Below are 22,156 nucleotides of genomic sequence, written 5' to 3'. Positions count from 1 at the left end.
CTGGATTACATTTATTGATTTGCGTATATTGAACCAGCCTTGCATCCCAGGGATGAAGTCCACTTCATCATGGTGGATAAGCTTTTTCATGTGCTGCTGGATTTGGTTTGCCAGTATTTTATTGAGGATTTTTGCATCAATGTTCATCAAGGATATTGGTCTAAAATTCTCTTTTTTGGTTGTGTCTCTGCCCGGCTTTGGTATCAGGATGATGCTGGCCTCATAAAATGAGTTAGGGAGGATTCCCTCTTTTCCTATTGATTGGAATAGTTTCAGAAGGAATGGTACCAGTTCCTCCTTGTACCTCTGGTAGAATTCAGCTGTGAATCCATCTGGTCCTGGACTCTTTTTGGTTGGTAAGCTATTGATTATTGCCACAATTTCAGATCCTGTTATTGGCCTATTCAGGGATTCAACTTCTTCCTGGTTTAGTCTTGGGAGGGTGTATGTGTTGAGTAATTTATCCATTTCTTCTAGATTTTCTAGTTTACTTGGGTAGAGGTGTTTGTAGTATTCTCTGATGGTAGTTTGTATTTCTGTGGGATCGGTGGTGATATCCCCTTTATCATTTTTTATTGCGTCTATTTGATTCCTCTCTCTTTTTTTATTAGTCTTGCTAGGTCTACCAATTTTGTTGATCCTTTCAAAAAACCAGCTCCCAAATTCATTAATTTTTTGAAGGGTTTTTTGTGTCTCTATTTCCTTCAGTTCTGCTCTGATTTTAGTTATTTCTTGCCTTCCGCTAGCTTTTGAATGTGTTTGCTCTTGCTTTTCTAGTTCTTTTAATTGTGATGTTAGGGTGTCAATTTTGGATCTTTCCTGCTTTCTCTTGTGGGCATTTAGTGCTAGAAATTTCCCCCTACACACTGCTTTAAATGTGTCCCAGAGATTCTGGTATGTTGTGTCTTTGTTCTCGTTGGTTTCAAAGAACATCTTTATTTCTGCCTTCATTTCGTTATGTACCCAGTAGTCATTCAGGAGCAGGTTGTTCAGTTTCCATGTAGTTGAGCGGTTTTGAGTGAGATTCTTAATCCTGAGTTCTAGTTTGATTGCACTGTGGTCTGAGAGACCATTTGTTATAGTTTCTGTTCTTTTACATTTGCTGAGGAGTGCTTTACTTCCAAGTATGTGGTCAATTTTGGAATAGGTGTCATGTGGTGCTGAAAAAAATGTATATTGTGTTGATTTGGGGTGGAGAGTTCTGTAGATGTCTATTAGGTCTGCTTGGTGCAGAGCTGAGTTCAATTCCTGGGTATCCTTGCTGACCTTCTGTCTCATTGATCTGTCTAATGTTGACAGTGGGGTGTTAAAGTCTCCCATTATTAATGTGTGGGAGTCTACGTCTCTTTGTAGGTCACTCAGGAATCTTGCTTTATGAATCTGGGTGCTCCTGTATTGGGTGCATATATATTTAGGATAGTTAGCTCTTCTTGTTGAATTGATCCCTTTACCATTATGTAATGGCCTTCTTTGTCTCTTTTGATCTCTGTTGATTTAAAGTCTGTTTTACCAGAGACCAGGATTGCAACCCCTGCCTTTTTTTGTTTTCCATTTGCTTGGTAGATCTTCCTCCATCCTTTTATTTTGAGCCTATGTGTGTCTCCGCACGTGGTATGGGATTCCTGAATACAGCACACTGATGGGTCTTGACTCTTTATCCAATTTGCCAATCTGTGTCTTTTAATTGGAGCATTTAGTCCATTTACATTTAAAGTTAATATTGTTATGTGTGAATTTGATCCTGTCATTATGATGTTAGCTGGTGATTTTGCTCGTTAGTTGATGCAGTTTCTTCCTAGTCTCGATGGTCTTTACATTTTGGCATGATTTTGCAGTGGCTGGTACCGGTTGTTCCTTTCCATGTTTAGTGCTTCCTTCAGGAGCTCCTTTAGGGCAGGCCTGGTGGTGACAAAATCTCTCAGCATTTGCTTGTCTGTAAAGGATTTGATTTCTCCTTCACTTATGAAGCTTAGTTTGGCTGGATATGAAATTCTGGGTTGAAAATTCTTTTCTTTAAGAATGTTGAATATTGGCCCCCACTCTCTTCTGGCTTGTAGAGTTTCTGCTGAGAGATCCACTGTTAGTCTGATGGGCTTCCCTTTGAGGGTAACCCGACCTTTCTCTCTGGCTGCCCTTAACATTTTTTCCTTCATTTCAACTTTGGTGAATCTGACAATTATGTGTCTTGGTGTTGCTCTTCTTGAGGAGTATCTTTTGTGGCATTATCTCTGTTTCCTGAATCTGAATGTTGGCCTGCCTTGCTAGATTGGGAAGTTCTGCTGGATAATATCCTGCGGAGTGTTTTCCAACTTGGTTCCATTCTCCCCATCACTTTCAGGTACACCAATCAGATGTAGATTTGGTCTTTTCACATAGTCCCATATTTCTTGGAGGCTTTGCTCGTTGCTTTTTATTCTTTTTTCTCTAAACTTCCCTTCTCGCTTCATTTCATTTCATCTTCCATCGCTGATACCCTTTCTTCCAGTTGATCGCATCGGCTCCTGAGGCTTCTGCATTCTCCAAGTAGTTCTCGAGCCTTGGTTTTCAGCTCCATCAGCTCCTTTAAGCACTTCTCTGTATTGGTTATTCTAGTTATACATTCTTCTAAGTTTTTTTTCAAAGTTTTCAACTTCTTTGCCTTTGGTTTGAATGTCCTCCCATAGCTCGGAGTAATTTGATTGTCTGAAGCCTTCTTCTCTCAGCTCGTCAAAGTCATTCTCCGTCCAGCTTTGTTCCGTTGCTGGTGAGGAACTGCGTTCCTTTGGAGGAGGAGAGGCGCTCTGCTTTTTAGAGTTTCCAGTTTTTCTGCTCTGTTTTTTCCCCATCTTTGTGGTTTTATCTACTTTTGGTCTTTGATGATGGTGATGTACAGATGGGTTTTTGGTGTGGATGTCCTTTCTGTTAGTTTTCCTTCTAACAGACAGGACCCTCAGCTGCGGATCTGTTGGCATACCCGGCTGTGTGAGGTGTCAGTCTACCACTGCTTGGGGGTGCCTCCCAGTTAGGCTGCTCGGGGGTCAGGGGTCAGGGACCCACTTGAGGAGGCATTCTGCCTGTTCTCAGATCTCTAGCTGCGTGCTGGGAGAACCACTGCTCTCTTCAAAGCTGTCAGACAGGGACATTTAAGTCTGCAGAGGTTACTGCTTTTTGTTTGTGCCCTGCCCCCAGAGGTGGAGCCTACAGAGGCAGGCAGGCCTCCTTGAGCTGTGGTGGGCTCCACCCAGTTCGAGCTTCCCAGTTGCTTTGTTTACCTAAGCAAGCCTGGGCAATGGCGGGCGCCCCTCCCCCAGCCTTGCTGCCGCCTTCCAGTTTGATCTCAGACTGCTGTGCTAGCAATCAGAGAGACTCCCTGGGCGTAGGACCCTCTGAGCCATGTGCGGGATATAATCTCCTGGTGTGCCATTTTTTAAGCCCGTCGGAAAAGCGCAGTATTCGGATGGGAGTGACCCGATCTTCCAGGTGCCGTCTGTCACCCCTTTCTTTGACTAGGAAAGGGAACTCCCTGACCCCTTTCGCTTCCCGAGTGAGGCAATGCCTCGCCCAGCTTCGGCTCATGCATGGTGCGCACACCCACTGACCTGCGCCCACTGTCTGGCACTCCCTAGTGAGATGAACCCAATACCTCAGATGGAAATGCAGAAATCACCCGTCTTCTGTGTCGCTCACGCTGGGCCTCTGATTTTATTTATTTACATCTTCTTTTTTTCTTAGTCTAGATAAATGTTTGTCAATTTTGTTTAATTTTTCAAAAACCAACTTTTTTTCATTGATACTTTGTACTGTTTGCTTCATTTCAATGTCATTTATTTCTGCTCTAGTCCTTATTATTTATTTTCTGCTACTAATTTTGGGTTTGGTTTGTTCTTGCCGTTCTAGTTCTTTAAGATATATAGCTAAGGTGTTTATTTGTGGTTTTTCTTCTTTTTTGATGTAGACTTTTAGAGCTACGAACTTCCCTCTTAGTACTGCTTTTGCTGTATCCCACAGGTTTTGGTATATTGTGTTTCAATTATCATTTGTTTCAAGGAATTTTTCAATTTCATTCTTAATTTCTTCATTGACCCACTGGTCATTCAGGTGCATACTGTTTAATTTTCATGTATTTGTATAGTTCCCAAAATTCCTCATTATTTCTAGTTTTATTCCATTGTAGTTAGAAAAGATATTTGATATCATTTCAATTTTTAAAAATGTTTTAAGACTTGTTTTGTTGCCTAACGTATGTCTATCTTTGAGAATGATCCATGTGCTGAGGAAAAGAATGTCTATTCTGTAGCTACTGGATGAAATGTTCTGTAAATATCTTTTAGGTCCATTTGATCTATAGTACAGATGAAGTCTGGTTTTTCATCAGTGTTCTTTCTGGAAGATCTGTCTAATGCTGAAAAGAGGAATGTTGAAGTCTCCAACTATTATCGTATTGGGAGTGTGTCTCTTCCTCTTTCACTCTAATAATATTTGCTTTATGTATCTGGGTGCTTCAGTGTTGGGTGCATATATATTTAAAATTGTTATATCCTCTTTCTGAATTGACCCCCTTCATGAGGATGGAGCACTCATGGCCTAACTACCTCTTTAATGGTCTCATCTCTTAACATTGTTGCATTAGGGATTAAGTTTCATTAGGTTGCATCAGGAATTATAATGACCTTCTTTTGTCTCTTATAATTTTTGTCTTGAAATTTGTCTAATATACGTGTAGCTACTCTTGCTCTTTTTTGGTTTCTATTGGCTTGGAATATCTTTTTCCATCCCTTTATTTTCTGTCTATTTGTGTCTTTATAGGTGAAATGTGTTTCTTATAGGCAACAGATCATTGGGTTTTATTTTTTATCCATTCAGCCACTCTATATCTTTTGATTGGAGAGCTTAATCCATTGACAGTCAAAGTCATTATTGATAAGTAAAGACTTACTGCTGCTATTTTGTTATCTGTTTTTTGGCCGTTTTGTGGTCATTTCGTCTTTCCTTCCTTCTTGTCTTCCTTTTAGTAAAGCTGATTTTCTCTGGTGACATAATTTATTTTCTTACTTTTTATTTTTTGTGTATCTGTTGTATGATTTGGGTTTGAGTTTTTCATAAGGCTTGGAAATACAATCTTAGAACTCATGATTTTAAGCTGATAACAACTTAATTGTTTGCATAAAAAAATGAGCAAAGAAAACTAATAAAAACTCTACCCCTTAACTTCATTCCCTTGCTTTTTAACTCTCTGTTGTTTCTATATATATCTTTTATACTCTATGGCTTGAAAAGCTGATATAGTTATTATTTTTGACTAGTTCATCATTTAGTGTTTCTACTTCAGATATGAGTAGTTTACACACATTTACAGTGTTATATTTCGTTTTTCTGTGTACTTATTATTATCAGTGAGTTTTGTACCTTCAGATGATTTCTTCTTGCTCATTAACTTTATTTGCTTTCTGACTGAAGTACTCCTTTTAGTATTTTCTTGCAGAACAGGTCTGGTGTTGATAATCCCTCAGCTTTTGTTTGTCTAGGAAGTCTTTATTTCTACTTCATGTTTGAGGGAGATTTTTGCTGGATATACTATTTTAGGGTAAAAGGTTTCTTCCTTCAGCACTTTAAATATGTCATGCCACTCTCTCGGCTTGTAAGGCTTCCACTGCAAAGTCTGCTCCCAGACGTATTGCAGCTCCATTGTATGTTACTTGTTTCTTTTCTCTTGCCGCTTTTAGCATCCTTTCTTTATTCTTGATCTTTAGGAGTTTATTAAATGCCTTGAGGTAGTCTTCTTTGGGTTAAATCTGCTAGGTGTTCTATAACCTTCTTATACTTGGATATTGATATGTTTCTCTTGGGAGGTAAAAGGCCAATAACCACTCTTAGATTTGCCCTCTTGAGGCTATTTTCTAGATCCTGTAGGCATACTTCATTCTTTTTTATTTTTTCTTTTGTCTCCTCTGACTGTGTATTTTCAAATTGTCTGCTTTCAAGCTCACTAATTCTTTGTGCTGCTTGATCAGTTCTGCTGTTAAGATTCTAATGCATTCTTCAATATGTCAATTGCATTTTTCAGCTCTAGAATTTGTGCTTGATTCTTTTTAATTATTTCAATCTCTTTGTTAAATTTGTCTGATATACTTCTGAATTCCTTCTCTTTGTTATCTTGAATTTCACTTTCCTCAAAACAGCTATTTTGAATACTGTGTCTGAAAGGTCACATATGTCCATTTCTTCAGGGTTGGTCCTTGGTGCGTTATTTTTTTTTTTTTTTTTTTTTTTTTTTTTTTTTTTTTTGAGACAGAGTCTCGCTCTGTCGCCCAGGCTGGAGTGCAGTGGCGGGATCTCGGCTCACTGCAAGCTCCGCCTCCCGGGTTCACGCCATTCTCCTGCCTCAGTCTCCCAAGTAGCTGGGACTACAGGCGCCCGCCACTACGCCCGGCTAATTTTTTGTATTTTTAGTAGAGACGGGGTTTCACCGTTTTAGCCGGGATGGTCTCGATCTCCTGACCTCGTGATCCGCCCGCCTCGGCCTCCCAAAGTGCTGGGATTACAGGCGTGAGCCACCGCGCCCGGCCCTTGGTGCGTTATTTAGTTCATCTGGTGAAGTCACTTTCCTGGATGGTCTTGCTGCTTGTAGATGTTTGTTTGTACCTGGGCACTGAAGAGTTAGCTATTTATTGCAGTCTTCACAGTCTGGGCTTGTTCTCATCCATCTTGGGAATGCTTTCCAGGAATACAAAAAGGACTTGGGTGTTGAGACCTAAGCTGTATCTGCTATAGGGGCACCCCAGGCCCAGTAATGCTGTGGTTCTTGCAGACTTGTAGACATACTGCCTTGATTGTCTTAGACAACATCTGGGAAAATGTTCTGAATTACCAAGCAGAGACTCTTGTCACTGCCCTTACTTTCTTCCAAATGAACAGTCTCTCTCTCTGTTCTCAGCCATCTGAAGCTAAGGGTGGAGGGACATAGCATCCCCATGGCCATGACCATCAGGATTGTGCTTGGTCAGATGTTAAACAGCACAGCACTGGGTCTTAACCAAAGTCCACTGTAACCACTACCTGGCTACTGCCTATGCTTTCTCAAGGCCCTAGGGCTCTGCAATCAGCAGGTGGCAAAGCTAGCCAGGCCTGTGTCCTTCCCTTCAGGGTGTCAAGTTCCCCCAGGCCCCAGGTGGATCCAGAAGTGCTGTCTCAGAACTGGGAGTCAGGGACTACAATAAAAAACCTTAGCAGTCTACCTGGTATTCTATTTTACTGGGGCTGAGCTTACATTCAAACCACAAGACACAGTCCTTCCCACCCTTCCCTTTCCAAAGGCAGATGAACCTCACCCCATGGCCATCACAACCCAGGCCTACAGGGAGTACTGCCAGCGTACCAGTGATGTTCCCTTAAGACCCAAGGGTTCTTCAGTCAGCTTGTGGTGAATGATGCCTAGGCTGCGAGTCACTCTTCAGGGCAGGAGGCTCCCCTCTGGTCCAGGGCAGGTCCAGAAATGCCATCCAAGAGCCAAGTCCTGGAATTGGGGACCCCAAGAGCCTACTTGGTATTCTACCCCCATGACTGTGCTGGTACCTAAGGTGCAAGACAAAGTCCCCTTTACTTTTCTCTCTGCTTTTTTCAAGTGAAAAGTCTTGTCCTATAGCCATCACAGCTGGAAATGTACTCAGGCCCACCTGATGCCACCAAGTATCAGAGTCTCACCCAAGGCCCTCAATGCAGTCCCTGGGCATCACTGATGGTTATTCAGGGCCCCAGGGCTCCTCAGTTAGCAGGTGATGAATCTTGCCAGGATTGGGTCCTTCCCTTCAAGGATATAGGTGTCCTTCTCACCCAAGGAGTGTCTAGAAATGTCATCTTGGAGCTAGGGCCTGGAAAGGGGGCATCATGACTCTGACCAGTGCCCTATCTTACTGTGGCTAATCTGGTATCCAGGATGTAAGATAAAGTCCTCCCCACTATTCCTTCTCCTCTCCTCAAGCAGAGGGAAGGGGTCTATTTTGGAGCTGCAAGCTGAGTGGTCTGGGTTACGGGAGGGGTGATTGCCACACTCCCTTAGCTGCCCCAGCTGGTGTCTCAATAGAACACGTGCCACCCCCAGTCCACGGTCTCTGGGCCTAGTTCAGCACTAGGACTCACCTAGGAGTTGCAGTTCTTGTGGCCTAGACTGCCTTTCAAATTTACTTAGAGCACCAGAGCACTTTAGCCCATAATAGGAGGGCTTATGCAAACTCAAGTATTGACCACTAGGATCAGCAATTCCCCTCTGGTTAGGGCTGGTTTAAATATTCCCTCCATGGGTAGGCATCAGCTGAGTTTGGTCCAATTTTGCTTTCTGTTATAACAAGATAGTGCTGAGTTCAATGCCTCAAAACTGCTGCACTGACTGTCCCTCTCCCCAGTACACAGAATCACTCTCCGCACCATGTCGCCACTCCCAGGGAATGGAGGAAGGGTGGCGTCAGTGACTCAAGACTGTTTTTCCTACCTGTTCAGTGCCTCTTTCAGTGATATAAAGTTAAAACCAGGTACTATGAGTGCTCTTATGCAGTTCTTAGGAAGGTGTTTTTTTGTGTGTAGATAGTTGTTAAATTGGTGCGCTTGCAGTGGGTGTCTTCTATTCAGCCATCTTGTTCCACCCCTCATCTACATCTTTCTAATATATAAGGATCCCTTAAATACCAAGAAAAAAAATGCCAAAACCCAAGGGGGCAAAAGATATAATAGAGAATTCACAGAAAAAGAATCGCAAATAGCCAATGAGCATTTTTAAAAGATGCTCAACTTCACACAGAGCGAAGCGCAAACTAAAACTTCTATCTATCCGTCCCCCTGTGAGATTCAGAAAAATTCCTAAGTTTGACCACAATCCCTGTTGGTGAGGCTGTGGAATAAAATGTACATTGCTATTGGTGCCAAATGGTGACACAAGGAACTTGGAAATATATATATATCAAAATTGAAATTCAGCAATATCCATCAAATACCAGCATATTTCTCCTTTAACTTAACAATGCCACTCCCAGAAATTACCCTGAAAATGAACCTCCACAAATAAGAAACATTGTACAAAATTGTTCACTTACAGTATTTGTAAGAAAAATATACTGGAAATAGCCCAAATGTCCATCAATAGGGCATTGACTGAAAAAACTACAGTTCATGCATGTAATGGACTACTAAATGGTCATAAGGATGAAGAAATACCTAGCACTAACACAGAGGAATCTATAGGAATATTTTATTAAATAAATAAATTCACTTAATTCTTTTATAAAATATTCTATATTACATTTAGAATGAGAAAGGCTGGAAACTAAGACTCATGGGTATTTACGTGTTTATATATTTTTAGGATTTATTTTTTTAAAAATGGACTGGAATGAGAAACCAGAAAGCAGAAAAAAAAAAAAATACTCATGTTGCAGAAGGAAATAGGGCAGGGAGGATAAGGATAGAAACCAGACTAGTATTTTACATATTCAAAAAATTAAATCATTAAAGGTTTCAAGGTATTCCATCAGACTAGATAACATGAAGGACTATGCTAGCATAGAATACCTAAAAGAGTACCAGATCGACATGAAACTTTGTCTGTAAAAAGACAGTACAGAATTAAAAGATCACTCAAACATGAAGTATTTGCTACACACAAGCCTACAAGCAGTCAGTATCCAGGACACATAAAATATACATAGGAGATATAGACATATTAAAGACACATTCCATAAAGAAAACCAAACTTCAGAAAAGGAACATGAGCAAATGACATTTCATAAATGAAACATTGATGGCCAATTAACCTAATTAGTAATCAGAGAAATATAAATTAGAACTACAATGAGCTATCAGATTACCAATAATGATAAAAGACTGAGATATTGTTGGTGAAAACATGTAACAACCAAGACTGTTATCCCTTGCTAAGAGGGGTACAACTGGAATAACCATTTAGGAAAATAATTTAGCATTACCTTGAAGATGCAAAGAAGTGCATATCATATGAACTAGCAATTCTACTCCTAGAAATATATCCTAGAGAAACTTTTTATACATGTGTGCAAGGAAAAATGTCAACAATACTCCAAGTAGCATTGTTCTTCATAGGAAAATATTCAAAACAACGTAAGCAAAATATTCAAAATAACCTAAATATCCATTGTTAGAAGATACATAAATTGTGATATATTCATACAGTAGAATGCTGTATAGCAGGAAAAATAATAAATGTACTAGAGCTACAAGTATCAAAGCAGATGAACTGTAAAATATAATATTGGGTGAAAAAAAAAAGCAAGTTGCAGAAAAATATATAGAGTTGGATCAATATATAGAAAGTTCAAAATAAAGCAGTTAAAAAGTCTGTGTTATAACAAAAAACAAATTCAAGGAAATAGTTACCTCTAGAGGGCAGGATATGAAATACAATTGAAGAAATCTTCAAAAGTATTATGTATTGTTTCTTAAGCTACCTAGGGAGTATGAGGGTTATCTGTTTTATTCTTATTTGCTAAACTGTACCTATACATTAATGTACTCATGTATATTTAATAAAATATAAAAGTAATTTTAACGAGTCAATTGCATTAGTAGTACTAAAATATCCATGATATATATTTGTTGGCAAACATCTAAAAAATCACTTCAAATTTAACTGATTTCTATTTAATTGTTAGTTTTTAAAATAGAGTAAAATTAACTTATACAGTTATACTGACAGATTTTCTTAGTAGATATTCGCTTGCTTTTTAAAGAATATATTCCTCCTTCTTCCATCAGAATCTAGGAGAAAACCAAAATGTTAACAATTCCTAAGTATACATAATAATATTCACTTATATCTACCTTATTTACACTACCAATTCATTTTATAGTACTTTTCTTTTACATTACTTCAGTTCAACATGGTTTATTTTTAAACCACAAAGAAAAATTAGCCTGTGGTAAACAATAAAATGAAATTTAAATTCGTTAAAAAACAACAAGCAACAGAATAGACACTTGCCAAGAAATGAATTACTGAGAAAAAGGAAAAGCTTCAGGTAATCATAGTAAATGCAGCTGAAGAAAGACAAACATATTAAGGCAATTTGGAAATTTGTTATTCTTTATTTAATTTCCTAAGTTAGATCATCAGTCGTTTATTATCAGGTTTTTTAAATAATAAAAGCTCTTAGAGGTATAACTTTCTACAGAACACACTATTGGTTTTGGTTTCCATCACTTTCTATGTAATTTGTACTTTATTTTCATTTCCTTTCTCTAACAAAGCAAACGAACCCTGAGTGTTTCTTTATTTCCAGGATGTTAAGGGAAGTTAAGTATCTCTTTTTAGTTGATTTCAATTTTATCAAATTTTGATTAGAGAATGTACCCATGAATCTCTCCTTAAATAAATGTCTTAGATTTTCTTTATGGCTTACTATATGAATTATGTTTGCATACATATCATGGGCTTATAAAAATTTTTTTCTATACATTCTCTGTTGGTAGGATATAGAATTTTAGATATATAAAATAAAGGAGAAATTGTCTAGCTGCTTCCCAAACCTGACTCCCTTTTTCTTGGACATACAGCTAGACTGTATTTCCCGGCCTCCCTTGGAATTGGTTTAGACATGTTACGTAAGTTCTGGTCATAGGCAGAAGTAACGTAAACTACTGCCGGTCCTGGTCCATAAAAATCTTCCCCACAATCCTCCACTTCCTTTTCCTTTCTTCTCTCTGGTAACAATAAACTGGGAGCCACCAGTTTAGGGCCTGAATAACTACATGGAGCAGAGCCCCTTCCCTAACCCCTCTATCTTATCATTTAAAAATCTTTTCTCTTCAAGTCATGACACATTCAAGCCCCAAACTTGCAAGAAGAACACAAAACTTTCAAGAAAGCTATGTAGACCCCACGGCAGGCCTGCACTCCAATACCTACTTCAGATCTGTTTGAGAAGGACAGCAAAGATCTTCCTAAAGGACAAGACACTAAGTTATTCACAAATGTCCTCCATCCTCCAGGATGGCAAGCCTTGCTATGGATCAGAAAATCTGCATCTCCTATTTTTCTCTTTTCCGAATGGGCTTTTTATTGCATTTATATGGTCTTTGCTCCAATAGTATATATGTTTTCTTAATGTATGTATTTTGCTATCTGTTTGCTTTCAACCTTTATTATATTCTAGATACGTTGCTTATAACCTATATTGATTTTTTCTTAATAATTTGATATTCTTTGAATCTTGAAAAGAATTCATATTCAATATATTAATTCATATTCAATATGTTAATTGCTATCATATTCAATATGTTAATTGCTAAGTGGGTTTCATTTTTAACACTGTATATAGAATTGCTATTTCATTTCTTCCCATCTTGATCCGGTTTCCTAGTGTGACATCATCACTCTTGAATTTTGTTCTTCCACGTCTCCACTTCTCTGGTGAATACGTTCCCATGTTAACAATTGTATTTTAACTTTATTCCTCTACTAAACCTTTAAAATTAAATAATTATACTCCTCTAATACTTTGTTCTTTCCTATTCTCTCCCACTCCCATCAAAGGCTCTTGAGAACACCACATGTCCCCATCCAAGAGGCTTGTTCTGTTTGCTTGTTTTAGCCCGTATGTCTCTTCATCAATTCTTCCTCAGCAGAATCTACCTGTTTTAATTTTACCTAACCTGTGGGCAGGTGCAACCCAGCCCTCTTTCTACTCCTACCCCTTCATTCCATCCCATTGGTGACTCTTGCCTTGGCCCCTCTGGTAGAACGTAATTTTAGTCAGGGTTCCACTGCACCTTTGGCCATGGCCAGGCATCACAATTTAAAGTCCCCATACCTGCTCTACCCAAGGAACTCCTCATAGCACCTGATTCCCTTTGGGCTACATCAATAGGCTTTTTTCTTTTTTGACTAGTTCTAGCTATATTCAAGCTGCCAGCTTTCTAGACATAGGTGTGGTCAAACAGAATTTGTTTTTGAAGTATTAAATTCTGTTGATAATTCATCTTTTGGGAGGATACATCTATATTATTCATATTTGGGGAAATATGAATTATTTAAAGGAATAACAGGACAGCTTCCATCACTACTGACCACATTTTCCTCCTTTTTCTTTCCTACGACACTAGTACTCCTCAAACCTCTCTAGTAGCTCATTCTCAGCCCCCTTTTCTGGTTCCTCTTCTACTTCATACCCTCCAACCTGAAATGTGCCTTCTCAGGAATTTGACAATTTTTGTTCTTATTCTATACACTTTCTCTCGAGAATCATATACTTGGATGTAGTCAATTATCTGCTATTCATAAAGGCTGAAACATCTCTTCTCACCTCAAGCCCTGTATATATAATTGCCTACTATACATCTCCACATAGATCACAGGTTTTTCAGAAGATCCTCACTTGAGCTCAGTGGGTCAAACTTACCTCTCTCAGAAATTGCTCCTCCTCTGAATCAGAGTGATGCTAGGTATTGTTTTTAAAAAGTATATCACAAAATGTATAATGCCAAACACAATCATTTCTCTCTTGTGTAATAATCTAAAGTGAGTGTTTCTGGTAAGCAGGCAATTTTCCTCCATGTAGTGATTCAGAGACCCAGTCCTTTCCATCTTGTGGCTCCATTATCCCTTGGGGCCTCACTACCATCTAGCCATCAAAGAAAGACAGCATGGAAAAATAATTCCCTTTTCTTATAAGCCTTAACCTAAAATGATGCACATCACTTCTCCGAACATTTCATTAGTGAGATCTAGCCATATGGCCACATGTACATGGATGGATGGTTAGGAAACATGTTCCTTGGCTGGGAAGCCATTTCATGGTGGCAGCTCTATTCTATTAAAAAGGGTACATTCTACAAAAAAAACGGTACATGGATTTTGATGGACAGTTAACCTTTTTCCTGCCACCTCCTCCTATGGTTTCAATCTTGTTCAGTAGCACAATCCCATCAACTACCCATTTACTCAAATCATAAATAAATCTAGGTCTTTCTCAATTTCTTCCTTCTCCCTTAACTAATCACCAATCACCAAGTACTATCAATTCTAGATCTAAATCTTCTCTTCTCTCATTTCATCCTTACTGCTATTGTAAAACTTCAAGCTCTCATTATTTCTTCCCCTAACTTGAGCTGTTCCACTTATCAAATCCCTCCTCATTGTTGCTAGAATCAACTTTTTTATTACGATGTCATCATATTCCTCTGCTAAAATTTGTTTAGTGGATCTCTGTTTAATGATCAATAATTAAACTGTTATATATCATACAAGGCCATTCATGACCTACCTTTTTGTATTGTCCAGAATTACCTAGGCCACTCCTGCACCCTTTATCATTAGTATTATAAATTGTAGCTATAACAATAACTAGAATGAAACAAGGTACTTGAAATTTCTAAAACAGGCTGTACTCTGACATCTTAGTATATCTATGTTGCTCTTTCTTCCCAATTTGACCATTTGGTAAACAACTTATTGATACTGTGCTCAAAAGTTACCTCCTCCATCACATCTTCCTCCTGTTTACAGATGAAACTTAGAAGTATCTGTTACTAATAACCCAAAACAAACTTTAATTCAAGCAATTTATCTAAATGCATTATATTTTTGTCTCTTTCTGACTAGCCACTAGATGAAGACTTCTTAAAGACAGGTTCCATGTCCTTTCATCTCTGTACCTTGCAGAGTCTAGTGCATAACAGAATATAATCTTGAGAACAAAGCACCATTTTATCCCCAGTGTCTAGCATACAGGAAACATTCAATAAGTGTCTTTATATGAATTCATAATATGTACTCAATAAACATTTATTGAAGAAAAAAGGGAAAACAGTATAGCTGAAAATATCAAGTCAGATAAGACAGACAGTTTGAATCTTGGCTTGAGAGTGTGACCTCAAACAAGTTATCTAATCTCTTTACATTTCAGTCTCTTTTGCTGTGAAGACTTTAGCAACTCAGGCTCCTGTAGATTAGAAATAAACTACATAAACTTCCTAGCACTGTTGTAAAAATTACACCCTTATGATGGCAAGGGATTATAACATTACATAAGCAGTGTTTATAGATATTTCAATAGTATGGCAAATATAAAATTATGTAGCACATTGAAACCTAAAGCATTTTCATGTTGAAAGATGATATGGTTTGGATCTTTGGGTACCCCCCGGCAAATCTCATGTTGAATTATAATCCCCAGTGTTGGAGATGGGGCCTGGTGGCAGGTGACTGAATCATGGGAAGTAGTTTCTCCTGAATGGTTTCGCACCATCCCCCTTGGTACTGCCCTTACAATAGTGAAGTTTGCTGTCATGAGATCTGGTTGGTTAAAAGTGTGTGGCACTCCCACCTCACTCTCTCTTGCTCCTGTCTTTGCTGTTTGAGATGCCACACACCTGCTTCACCTTCCACCATAATTCTAATTTCCTGAGGCTTCCCCAGAAGCCAATTCTTCCCCAGAATCCTGCTTCCTATACAGCATGTGAAACCGTGAGCCAATTAATCTATTTTCTTTATAAATTACCCAGTCTCAAGTATTTTTTATAGCAATGTGAGAACAGACTAATACAGAAAATTGGTGCCAGGAGCGGAATTTTGATATAAAGATACCTGAAAATGTGGAAGGAATTTTGGAACTTGGTAATGGGCAGAAATTGGAAGAGTGTGGCAGGCTCAGAAGAACACAAGATAAGGGAAAGTTTGGAACTTCGTAAAGACTGGCGGTGGAATGGTTATAACAAAAAAGGCTGAAAATGCTGGTAGTGATATTGATAGTGAAGTTGAGGCTGAGGAGGTCTCAGATACAAATGAGGAACTTATTGGGATCTGTAGCAAAGGTCACTTTTGTTATGTGTTAGCAAAGAACTTGGCAGCACTGTGCCCCTGCCCTAGGGATCTGTGGAACTCTGAACTTGAAGGTGATTAATTTAGGATATCTGGCAGAAGAAATTTCTAAGCAGCAAAGCATTGAAGATATGGACCAGCTGCTTCATAAGAACCACCTATGTTCATATGTGTGAGCAAAGAAATGATATAAAACTGGAACTTATATTTAAAACAGAAGCAGAGCATAAAAGTTTGGAAAATTTGCAGCCTGGCCATGTGGTAGAAAATAAAAGCCCATTTTCCGGGAAGGAATTCAAGCAGGCTGCAGAAATTTGCATAAGTAAAAAACGAGCTAAGTGCTAATAGCCAAGGCAATGGGGAATAGGTCTCAATGGCATTTCACAGAACTTCATGACAGCCCCTCCTATCACATGCCTGAAGGCCTAGGATGGAAGAATGGTTTCCTGGGCCAGGCTCAGGGCCCTGCTGCTCTGTGCAGCCTCAGAACACTGCTCCCTGTATCCCAGTCACTCCAGCTCCAGCCATGGCTCAAAGGGGCCCATGTACAGCTCAGTCTGCTGCTTCAGAGGATGCAAACTGTAAGCCTTGATGGCTTCCATGTGGTGTTAAGCCTGTGGGTGCACAGAGTGTAAAAGTTAAGCCTTGAGAGACTCCACCTAGATTTCAAAGGATGTATGCAAAAGCCTAGATGTTCAGGCAGCAGTCTGTTACACAGGTGGAACTATCATGGATAACCTCTACTAGGGCAGAGTGGAGAGGCAATGTGGAATTGGAGCCCCCACAGAGAGTCTCCAATGGGGCACTGCCTAGTGGAGCCATGAGAAGAAGACCGCCATCCTTCAGACCCCAGAATGGTAGATACACCAACAGCTTGCACCTAGCTCCTGGAAAAGCCACAGGCACTCAGCCCCAGCTCATGAAAGCAGCCACAGGGGCTGAACCTTGCAAAACCACAGAGGCAGGGCTGCCCAAGGCTTTTGGAATCCACCTCTTACACCAGTGTGTCTGGATGTGAGATATAGAGTCAAGGGAGATTATTTTGGAGCTTTAAGATTTGTGACTGCCCTGTTGGGTTTCAGACTAGCATGGGGCCTGTAGCCCCTTTCTTTTGGCCTATTTCTCCCTTTTGGAATGTAAATATTTACCCAATGCTTGTACCGCCATTGAATCTTGGAAGTAACTACCTTATTTTTGATTTTACAGGCTCATAGATGGAAGAGACTTGCCTTGTATCAGGTGAAACTTTGAACTTTTGAGTTAATGCTGGAGTGAGTTAAGACTTTGGAGAACTGCTGGAAATGCATGATTGTATTTTGCAATATGGGAAGGACATGAGATTTGGGGGGCTGGGGGTGGAAAGATATGGTTTGGATCTATGTCCCTGCCAAATCTCATGTCAAATTATAATCCTGAGTGTTGGAGGTGGGGCTTGGTGGGAGGTGACTGGATCATAGCAGGGCAGTGGTTTCTCCTGAGTGGTTTAGCACCATCCCTCTTGGTGTTGTCCTCATGATAGTGAGTTTGTTCTCCTGTGATCTGGTCATTTAAAAGTCTGTGGCACCTCCCTACTCACTCTCTCTTGCTCCTGCTCCTGCCATGTGAGACTCCTTGCTCCCCCTTTGCCTTCTGCCATAATTAGAAGTTTCCTGAGGCCTGCCCGAAACCAATCAGATGCCAGCATCATGCTTCCTGTACAGCCTGCAGAACCATGAGCCAACCAAACCTCTTTTCTTTATAAATTACCCAGTCTTAGGTATTTCTTTATAGCAATGCAAGAATCAACTAATACAGAAGTTTTGTAATACTTAAAAAATGTGTTTAAAATGTCCTCAAGATTTTGTCTCAAATAAAACATGTTAACAGTCTCTGAAAACGTGTTTTTATTTCTAGATCTAAGCTATAATTTCCTCAGAATAAAAAAGTATAAGAAAAAGAGTCCATCCAATAAAAATTAATGAATAAATGTTAAGCTTAAATCAAAGTGAACGTTAAATACAGTAATGTGATATGGTAATACAAACTGACTTAATTGAGAAGATAATGTGAGACTGTGCTTTACCTCATCAAGTCCAAAGTCCCATGACTGCTTAGAGTGCAATTCTTCCGAAGGTATATTTCCCCTAAGGATTATAAATACACAGTATCAAAGTTTGTTGTGTTCCCTCTGGGAATTATTGTTCTAAATTAGAGTTCCCAAACTTGGCTTCAGATCAGAATTATATGGGAAGCTTTCTTAAAAATAAAGATTCATAAGCTCCATGCCAAGGAGCCCACCTATTATGTGCGGGTCAATCTTGGTATTCTATAGTTTAAAATCACTACCTCAAGTAATCTGGACCTGCAGTCAGGATTGGGAACCATGTTCTAAATTGCTTTCATAAGGTACATTTAAAACTCAAGGCCTAACATGATTTTTTCACTCATAAATTTCTAGATATTGGGAGATATAACAACAAAAATACAAATTTGCCAATTTTATGAAATGTTTTGTAAGTCTATGTTTTAATTAATTTGTAGTGCCAATCCCACTAAAATTGCATCTTTTTATCAATCAATATTTTTAATAATTCCACAAGAAATCACTTCCAGAATAAAAATTTATTCTAGTTCATGATTTCCAACCAGAAAGATTTGGCTAAATTGTAATTATTACCAAGAAAGTTAGGACTATTACCAAGAAAGTTAGGACTATTTTAGCTAGAAACTACTAGCTAAAATAAAGTTTTCTTTAGTTACTTATAATTGCAGGTCATTATTCAGAAAAGCCTGGAAGGCAGTTCTCAAACTTTTAAGGAATAAATTTAACATCAACACATAATGGATGAGTGTAAAAATCACCTTAAACTCAGAACATTTTGTACACCAGCTGCAAGAAGAGAAAGAAAAATCTGGTGAAACATAATTGTTTTCAATGTATGGGTAGAGGAGATTGTAATCTTGAACATAGAGAAAACATGGAGTCTCTGAGAGGTAAATGTTGGCAATGAGAAGAGTGCTCTATCCCTAAAATGTACACTGTCCTATAAACTGCTGATATGCTTGCTTATGCCACTAACATCTGAATTCTATCACTCCCTATAGTGATTCTATACCAACCAAGCAAGCAACCTTCCCACTGAGAGCTGTTTGAAAGTAAGAAAATATGCTTTTTCATGTCAATAAGACTTCCTATACATGTTCCCTTTCTATTTATTACTTTAAGTTAATAAATTGACATTCTGGCGGATATGAGTTTCTTGAACACATTAAATCAATTTCCTCAAATCTAATCAACACTAATATTCAGATAAGAAGGTATTTGGGAGCTGGCAAATATGAGCACCACACTCTCAACTGGGGTGATATTATCAACACTGTGACTCCTGGTAAGGCTCCTTTGAGACCAGGTTGCCTGCCCACCCTCAAATGGCAATACGCCTACCTCACTTTGCATCAATTCAACATTCATCATGCATCATACTAGATCCTGATTTGTATTCCCCAGATTTACCTAAAAACTTACATAGAGTTTGCTGGATATTTCTGAATACTTTTCTGTGGTGTCTTCTCTTGGTAATCATTTTCAAATTTTTCTTAAAAAATAAAAGTATGCACCGAGTTAAAAATTTAGCATAGTCTATTTTCATTTTTTAATTCAAAGCATATTCACATGACACGTACAGAGGAAAACCACTGGTCCACAATGTTATATAATAGGAAGCCATTCTATTTTTGGTTTCATTTTCCTCCAAACACATAAACACACATACAAATATATAGATGTGTGTGTATGAATATACAAATATATATACTAAAACTGAAAGAAAAAAAGAATATGTAATTACATTTTCCATGTACAATACCAACCTTTTCTTTCAGAGCTGCTTGGGTAGTAATCGTTCTCAAAAGATGTACTAAGATCATTTCTTTCATTTTTGTTATACTCTCTCTGATACTTCTTGTTTGGCTGACATTTTTCTGGATAACTTGTTTTATTCAAAGTCGAATTACTAAAAGTCAACTCTGGAACTGTAAAAATGTTTCTAATGCATCTGTCAGTGACATGGTTTTTATCAGAACTAGTGACTACACAAGTATCTCCCATACTATCATAATCACACTTGTTAAATGTTTTCTTTATCCTTTGCTCATCTATGTTTAATACATTGATCATATTTTGACTAACAAAAGAGTCACAATTCTCTGATAGAAGGTTAGGAGTAGACTGGTTCACATCTTCAAGAAAATTTGAAACTTCCTTTCCATTTTTCCCCCAAATATGCTGTATTGAGTGTTTTTCAGTAATGTAGTCTGACTGTCTTATTTCATCCGTGCTTCTACAATCTTCATCCATAATTACAGCAGGGCTTTTAGTAAGTAAATTCCTATTTCCTAGACTTTGGGATAAACAAAAACATATTTAGCAAGAAAAGCATGGATTATTTGCATTTAGAAACTCTTACTTTCAATTCTTAGAGGACATATTGAGTTGCTACTAACATTTACCTAGACTATGTTTTTATTTTTTATATTTAAATAAATAATATTGCTTTGGGTGAAAATTTGTCTAATGTGGTCTTCTAATGACTTATTGAGTAAGAAAATAATCTACGGCCAGTTTTTTATTACAACATGAAATGTTAGCATGAGGTTTAATTAAAACATGACCAACCTATAGTATATTTTCTATAATAAAATCTAAAGAATAAACTAGACAACCACTATATGTCATTGCTGTTCCATTTAACCAGAGAAAGATGTTTTGAAGGCTGTGCAGAGAAAATTTATCACCAGTGTTAAAACATAAAATCAAATAGTTATGAGACCATTATAACATATTTTTCAACCTAATATGGATATAAAAACAATTATAAAGTTCCCAAGGAAGAGCAATATAAATACAAATGTGTATATACATAATAAAACCAAGAGATAAGGTGAATTAGATAAAAACTAATTAGATGAGTTAGATAACTTGTAAGTTCTATTCTAATGCAGAAATAATTCTAGGTTAAGTCCAATTTGTGCACAAGAATCAAAGATATAGTGGAAAATAATTACAAATCAAGATGTTTCTTATTTTATTGTCAGTGACTACAAATTTATTTGGAAGTGAGTTGTTCCAGAGGTTGGAGTTATCAAAAAAATTAGGAAAAAAAACCACAGATTGCTAAAACTCTAATAACTATTTTTAAATTATTTATCAAATATTTGATGATCACCTACTCTGTTCCAGGTACTAGGCCATATATTGGCAATAGAGAGATAAAAGAGCTCAGCTTGTTGTTAAAGAGAGAGATTAATGTTTTACCCATGAATGTTCACAGCTCATGATCCTACGTTGTTTCTCAATGAGGGCCTTATTGGTGTTTTAGACAGAATGATGTTATTTTGCTATACCAAAAGACACAGTATATAGTATGCACTAATATACACCATTAACATGAGGAAAATATCTGTTACTCTACATAAAATAGAGGTAAATGCACTTTATAAGATATTAAGCACACTATAAATGTAAATCTTTTTTTATTATTCTTTCAATAGTTTTTGGGAAATGGGTGATGTTTGGTTACATGAACAAGTTCTTTAGTGGTGGTTACTGAGATTTTGGTGCAGCCATTACCCAAGCAGTGTACACTGTACCCAATGTATAGTCTTTTATCCCTCATCCCTCCTCCACCCTCCACCAGAGTCCCCAGAATCCATTATATCAATCTTTTTTGTGTGTGTGGGAGATGGAGTTTTGCTCTTTTCATTCAGGCTGGAGTGCAGTAGTGCAATCTTGGCCCACTGCAACCTCTGCTTCCTGGGTTCAGGCAATTCTCCTGCCTCAGGCTCCTGAATAGCTGGGATTACAGGTGTGTGCCACCACACCCGGCTGACTTTTGTGTTTTTAGTAGAGACAGGGTTTCACCATGTTGGCCAGGGTGGTCTCAAACTCCTGACTTCAGGTGATCCACCTGCTTCAGCATCCCAAAGTGCTGGGATTATAGGTGTAGGCCACCACACCCGGTCCATTATATCAATCTTATGCCTTTGTGTCCTCAAAGCTTAGTTCCCACTTATAAGTAAGAACGTAACAATGTTTGGTTTTCCATTCCTGAGTTACTTCAGTTAGAATAATAGTTTCCAACTCCATCTAGGTTGCTGTGAATGCCATAATTTCATTCCTTTTTATGGCTGAGTAGAATTCCATGGAGTGTGAGTGTGTGAGAGAGTGTGTGTGTGTGTGTGTGCGTATGTATTTTCTTCACCCACTCATTGGTTGATAGGCATTTAGGCTGGTTCCATATTTTTGTAGTTGTGAATTGTGTTGCTATAAACATGCACATGCAAGTGTCTTTTTCATATACT

At 38.3% G+C, this 22,156-nt stretch overlaps 1 protein-coding gene across 5 annotated transcripts in view, besides 2 other annotated features; it reads right to left on the bottom strand.

Annotated features, from left to right (window-relative positions):
• The window catches only part of REDIC1 (regulator of DNA class I crossover intermediates 1), a 282,118-nt gene that overhangs the window by 205,494 nt on the left and 54,468 nt on the right, over positions 1-22,156 (bottom strand). For 3 of the 5 annotated variants that reach the window (NM_001031748.4, XM_005268806.4, XM_011538231.3), the window contains 4 exons: positions 19,667-20,196; positions 19,323-19,392; positions 17,880-17,940; positions 10,695-10,758 (listed from right to left, as the gene is read on the bottom strand). In NM_001031748.4, the coding sequence (NP_001026918.2) occupies positions 10,695-10,758; positions 17,880-17,940; positions 19,323-19,392; positions 19,667-20,196 (725 nt within the window). Of the gene's footprint in view, positions 1-10,625; positions 10,759-17,879; positions 17,941-18,494; positions 18,687-19,322; positions 19,393-19,666; positions 20,197-22,156 lie in introns of those variants that run through there. The other 2 variants (NR_135051.2, NM_001319247.2) reach the window with 2 other exon arrangements.
• Positions 2,879-3,378: an enhancer, noted in NCBI's record as "H3K4me1 hESC enhancer chr12:40093231-40093730 (GRCh37/hg19 assembly coordinates)". NCBI's record gives its function as "activates a minimal SCP1, AML or CMV promoter by ChIP-STARR-seq in primed H9 embryonic stem cells {active_cell/tissue: H9 hESC(primed)}" and the evidence as "EXISTENCE:reporter gene assay evidence [ECO:0000049][PMID:30033119]".
• Positions 3,379-3,880: an enhancer, noted in NCBI's record as "H3K4me1 hESC enhancer chr12:40092729-40093230 (GRCh37/hg19 assembly coordinates)". NCBI's record gives its function as "activates a minimal SCP1, AML or CMV promoter by ChIP-STARR-seq in primed H9 embryonic stem cells {active_cell/tissue: H9 hESC(primed)}" and the evidence as "EXISTENCE:reporter gene assay evidence [ECO:0000049][PMID:30033119]".

This window comes from Homo sapiens, chromosome 12, assembly GCF_000001405.40.
Source record: "Homo sapiens chromosome 12, GRCh38.p14 Primary Assembly".
NCBI classification, from domain to species: Eukaryota; Metazoa; Chordata; class Mammalia; order Primates; family Hominidae; genus Homo; species Homo sapiens.
This window is presented reverse-complemented; position numbering and strand designations above follow the sequence as displayed.